Here is a 6000-nt window from a genome sequence, read left to right as displayed (position 1 = left end):
TTTATGAGACCATCACCAACTCTTAATTTATAATTAATGGCAATAATATGAGCCCATTTGATTATGATTACTGATGAGAATTACATGTGTTTCTTAGTATTTATTTATTCTTTCTAAATTTAATTTCATCATGTAAACAAAGTTTAGTATTAAACAAATTCTTTTATTTTAACTTAATAGTCACACATAAATGGATACATAAGAATTTTCATTGCTTCTGAGACTGTCATAGACTTCTTAACAAAATTAGCTTTTACTTTCTGATGTTCTCTCAAAATACGATTATTGAATATCTTAAGTGTTTGATATATAAGAACAACATTTTTCACGTACTGAAAATGAGATATTTGGATATATAGGAATACATATCCTAACGTGCTAAGAAAGAGTTATGCAACATTGGGTACAGCTGTAAGATATAATTTTCACCAAAGCGTTGACACATATTTACAATTTTATAACATATAGCCCTACCCGGGGTTTGAGTGAAACACGATTTTTACACGTATATACTAAGCTGCCAATTCTACATTTATAAATTTATACTAATATTTATAAGGATATATGCAATGATTTGGCTACAAGGAAGCTTATAACAGTGATGGTTATAGTGTCAAAAAGTTGGGAAAAGTATAACTATTTAGAGATCACAGAACTGATAAAATTAGTGCCCTATATTAACATTCTCTTCAACCATTAAGAATGGTATTATATATTAATATTTATTAATATTAGAGAACAATTTATTGTTTATTTCTTAAAAACAGGTTTTAAGAAAGAATATGAAGTGGCTTTCAATTTTTATAATGTAAAATTTATGTAGTTACACAGATAGGACATAAAGATGGACATCAACTGTGTAATGCATCTTATCATTATGTGGTGGAAGTTACAAGTGTTTAAAAAAATTTCCATAATCTTTATTTTCCACTTTTCTTTATTATAATGAAGGTTACACTAGAAAACTAGCTAAGGAACAGATTAAAAGGGGTCTTTAATGCCAAATGAAGGAGTTTATCCTAGAGGTAATGGGAAAATATGCCAGGTTTTTAAAGCAGGGAGGCAAATTGGTCAAATGACTAGCTCGGAAGATATTATCTTACCTCTTGAAACTCAAGTTTCTCCTATGTAAGAAACTTGTGTGTGAGTGTTTGCATAATAGAAAATTTTAATATGCAATCTGAAAGTGGCAGGTGAGGTCTTGAAGATATAGCCTAGAAAAAAACAAAAACTAAGCAAAATGGAAGCAAAACCATGCGGCATAAGAAGTTATCAGGCATGTAAAGGGGATGGAAATCATAGAAGAGAGGAGGAACAGTGAGTTTAGAGAAGAGAGAGAGAGAGAAAGTGACAGATAGAAGGAGTGAGAGATATTAATTGGAGAATATGGCAGACAGCCAAGACTGCATAAAAACATGACTAGAGAGAAGTTTCCACTGGTGATGAGCCTGAATCGTAATTTTAAGTACAGGAATATCTAATGTTGCATTCTTAGCTGTTTGCAACGCTGTGATATTATCCCAATCTGTCACCCCATACTTTTGGCAGAGTCCAGTAGTCCATACAGCCTGGTATGGAGATGTTTAAAGAATAAAGTGTTGGAGCCATAAAGGGAGATGGGTCTGATTCAGACAGACCTGAATCATTACTCCATTTCTTAATTTGTATGAGAGGCTGGACAAATCACTTAATGAACTGCAGTGTTCTGAGTTAACATTTAATAATTGCTTAAAAGCTGTTAGCAAATATTATTTATTAACTGCTAACTATGTGTCAGGCAGTATTCCAAAACCTTTATAGGTATTTACTTATTTAATCCTCATGATAACTCTATTAAGCTGTGAACTATTTTGTTTATAACCACAATGTGCCTCTTGTGAGAAAACTGAGGTGCATTGCAGTTAAATAACTTGTTTGAGGTCACACAGCTTGAAAGCAAGGGACCTGAGATTTAAAGCAGGTACTCTAGTTCTAGAGCATGTACTTCACCCACCCCTGTTACACTATCCCTCAGAGGTTGATTACAAGCTTGGAAGCACTAAACAAAATAATACATGTTAACGCCAAGCACTGTAATTGGCACAGAGGATTTTAGTTAATATCTCTTTTTTCTTCAATTCACTCTATATTTATAAAACTTGTTTGCAAAATGATCAAAATGGATTTTGTCAAGGGTCTTAAAATTTAGACATAATATTCCTTCCTAATTTTCCTGACCAAACAATTAAGAATTCCATGAAACAAAGAAATGAGGTTAGATACGTTTTATTCTCTCCTAGTAAACACTAGTCATTTTTCTATTCCATTCTAGGATTTTATTTAAGGTGGAGACCAAGCTCATTTGTCTGTGGCCTTGAGTTTTAATCTGTGCATTTATCGAAGTAGAGTAACATACCTTATTCCATTTGTTCTCCATGGCAAGATCAATAAGAGAAACATTCTTCACTTCATTTCTGTGAACAAGAAACTGAGACTCAGTAAAGTAAATGCTTTGACCAAGACCAGCTTTCTAATAAGGCAAGGAAGTATGTTAAAAGTTGGCATATTTGGTTCCAGTTCAAGATTTAAGTGTCAGAATCCATGTTTTTTTATTTTATTTTTTAATTTTTTTTGTGGTCGGCTAGTAGCAAATATAGAGAGATTGAGACAAAATATAATATGCAATCAAACATCTTTTACTGTAGCTATGCAGTATATATATACAGAAATAATCATGCAAATTTTTAAATATAACATTAAAGACAAGTATTTTTAGATTGCTTTTATCTACTTACATTGATATCACTGCTTCCATTCATTAGGGTAAATAAACAAAAAGTATTGCATTGATAATTTCCCACATATAATTTCTATAGACAAAAGAATTGAATCTTAAAGCAGAAGGAATGTGGAAGGAAAAAATCAAAGGCCTGGACAATTCAATTAAATATGCATTTTAATGACAGTAATCTTCTCCCTTTAACCTCTAGCACGTCTGTTCATCTGAAATCTGAAAATACTTAAAATTATACTTAAGTATAGTTAAAATTGTGAACAAATCTCATCTCTGTAACAAATAGACTTTCACTGTCTACAGAGTCACTTAATAGCTGACGAATAGGTTCTATTAGGCTCTATCTTAATTGGTACTTGAACTTTTGCCTTAAGCTGATTTGGCTTCTATAATCCTTCCTGTTTTATCAACTGAAATGGTCAACTCCCTTAAAGCTTACCATACCATGGATGTATTTCACATGTTTATGTTTCAGCTTTTTGGACATTTTCCCCAATTGATTGAGGCATTGACTGTGAGATTTGTAACAAATAAATTAGCTCTTAACTCTTCATGTAACAAGATGTCTAGTTTCTTCAATCACAACATCCACTTAATTTCATTAAACCCAGCTCATAAATTCTACAGCTTGACAACCAACTAACCAACCAGAGTATAGTACTTGTACATAAAATTATTTTCTTATAGCAGATGTTGGTAGTTAGAGGATAGTCTTCCATAATCTCTCAAAATTAAATATTCATTTTATCCAAATTGCCAAATAACCGATGTAAGATAAGGGGAAAAATAATGGTGACTTCTATTCCTTTGCCTTCTCAAGCATTTTTAGCTGGTAAATGGCTTATATTTATGTACAAGGATGCCATAGATCAGACAGCCATTAACTGCCTCCAAGATCATTACTGCTCCCTCCCTTCTTCAGCTGGACCACCTGTCTTCCTTGCTCAGGGCAGTCGGTCCTGCTTTCCATCCCTTTCTTTTGTCAAGCTAAATGACAGCTTCTTTGATTTTCCTCACCACAGAAGCATCTATCACTGTATCCATTATCTATTCTGACATGTTTACATACTGTGTGTGCTCAGCTGATCGGGACTCTGTCCACAGTTCACAAGGCACCTGCCCTCCAACCTACAGTTGTGTATTGTGGTGAAATATCAGGCTAAGTCAGTGAGCAGCACTTGCTAAATTTGTTAAAATGATGTATATAATTGTACACACAAGAGTAAGCTGGATGCTAGGGAAACTTTAGACTCTTGGGCTATGACTTTACGAACTACCCACTCCCTCAGACTTAGTTAATTCGTTCAGTTCGCCTCAGTCTGGAAAAAAACAATGGGCTATTGATTTTTTAAAAAAATTTCTGTGGAAGGAAAACATTCAGCTAATTTGATATATCTACTGAATTAAAATATTCTCAATTTAGTAAAATAGTATTATGTTTTAACTTATTAAAAATCATCCGTAGAAAGTATAGTTACACACACGTTTACATATTTATCACATACTTATTTTATTTTATTTATTACATTATATCTTATATTTATTATATACCGATATATCACTTAGGACAGTCTATTTGAAAAAATTGTTTCATTTTATGGTTGTGGACATTCTAATTTTAAAAAAATGCATTAAAGTTATGTAAACCTAATCATTTTATTTCTCTAATTTCAGGTTCAACAACAAAAATTAAACTTTGATATACCTTATTTTTTTAAATGTTCAAAACAATAGCACATCTCATTTTAATTCTAAAGTAGGATTAGGTGAATTTTCCAAAATACACCTTCTAATGCTTTTAATGTATTTTCTATATATTTTTCAATTAGTAAACTTCATATAAGAAAAATAAAGAGAATGGGTTACCAAGCAATTCTTGCCCATCAAATAGAAACCTATCTGAATGAGTTTAAATAATCCAACGAAACCTGCAGTAAGTCTCCTGAATGAAGCGTATTTATTTTTCTCAAGTCCATTTTATATTCTGTACTCACTAACATTTGTAATACATTACTTCCCCATGCACCAATAATTTAATGATACCTTATTCTTTGCTTGAAAAGCAAAAGAAATATTATCAGGTAGTATTACAACAAGCTAAACCAATTACCTTCTAAAATGATTTTAATGCAGGCAAAATATGAGAGTCATCATTCTAGCATAGTGAGATTTATTAAGAGAACAATTCAAAGCAGTAAACTGGACTTCTTATATGCTACATCGCTTCCTATTGAGATTCAATTAATATTTTGAAAGTTTTTACTTTATACTGTAAAATTTTAAAATATCATATTCTAGCAGATTTTGTGTAAAGAAACTAATAATATCTCATAGGCCATTTGGTTGTAGCTTTCATATATACACATTCAAATTCAAGACATACACTGCAAGTGCTATTGCTAAAAGTAACAGGCTCACCAAATAGTATGAAAAATTGTTCCCATGTCCATAATTCAAAAGAAGTGAAGAAAAAGTTAAACTAGTATAAATCTGAGACCTTCAGGTAAATTCCGAATCTCAAATTATTAATTTGCTATGCAAAGGCTTGCTAATGGGTTATGCATTATTTCTTGTAAGCACATTAGTGGATATTTTAAATCAGATACTTACTTTTTTCCCTCAAGGATAAGAGTAGGCCCTGTCCTTAAATTCTGTGCACAAAGAGCCACTACAATACAATGATTATTTTCTCTTGGCAGGGACTCATGTGTTAGTATCAGGTGCCTTATTTTATCTGGAGAATAGGAGCGTTAAAGCATGTATTTCTTCTCCAACCTCTTTTGTCACTTCTCCTTCATTAGAGTTAGCATCTTTTGTTTCTTACTGTAATTTCTAGATTGAATACCATTTTGTTAGAAAAATTTCAAAGAAAAATACTTTTTTAAATAAATAAAACAATCTCTTAATAATGACCTTTCTTTGCTACCCATGTGTTTGCTTAACTATGTACTCCGAGTGCTGTAACTACATATAACACGGTAGGTTGGTTAAAAAGAAAAATGCATCAGTGTGCCACCACACAGAGTAAAGTATGCTATTATTAGCTTAATTATCACCCCCTAATAAGAAAATAAGAAATGCCTCCAACTTAACATTTGAGAGAGATTCATTTTTAGTTACAAAATAATAAGGCCCTTAATTTTTTGGCCTGTCGATCATTCTTACTAATGGACATGAATGCTACTTTCTATATTTTTACGACTGTTATTGGATAGCGTCATACTGAT

The 6000-nt window shown here is 31.9% G+C and overlaps 1 annotated feature.

Moving 5' to 3' along the window:
- Positions 3755–4049: a silencer, noted in NCBI's record as "tiled region #10987; K562 Repressive non-DNase unmatched - State 24:Quies". NCBI's record gives its function as "represses a minimal TATA promoter and a strong SV40 promoter by Sharpr-MPRA in K562 cells {active_cell/tissue: K562}" and the evidence as "EXISTENCE:reporter gene assay evidence [ECO:0000049][PMID:27701403]".

The sequence above is a fragment of the Homo sapiens genome, chromosome 2 (assembly GCF_000001405.40).
Source record: "Homo sapiens chromosome 2, GRCh38.p14 Primary Assembly".
NCBI classification, from domain to species: domain Eukaryota; kingdom Metazoa; phylum Chordata; class Mammalia; order Primates; family Hominidae; genus Homo; species Homo sapiens.
This window is presented reverse-complemented; position numbering and strand designations above follow the sequence as displayed.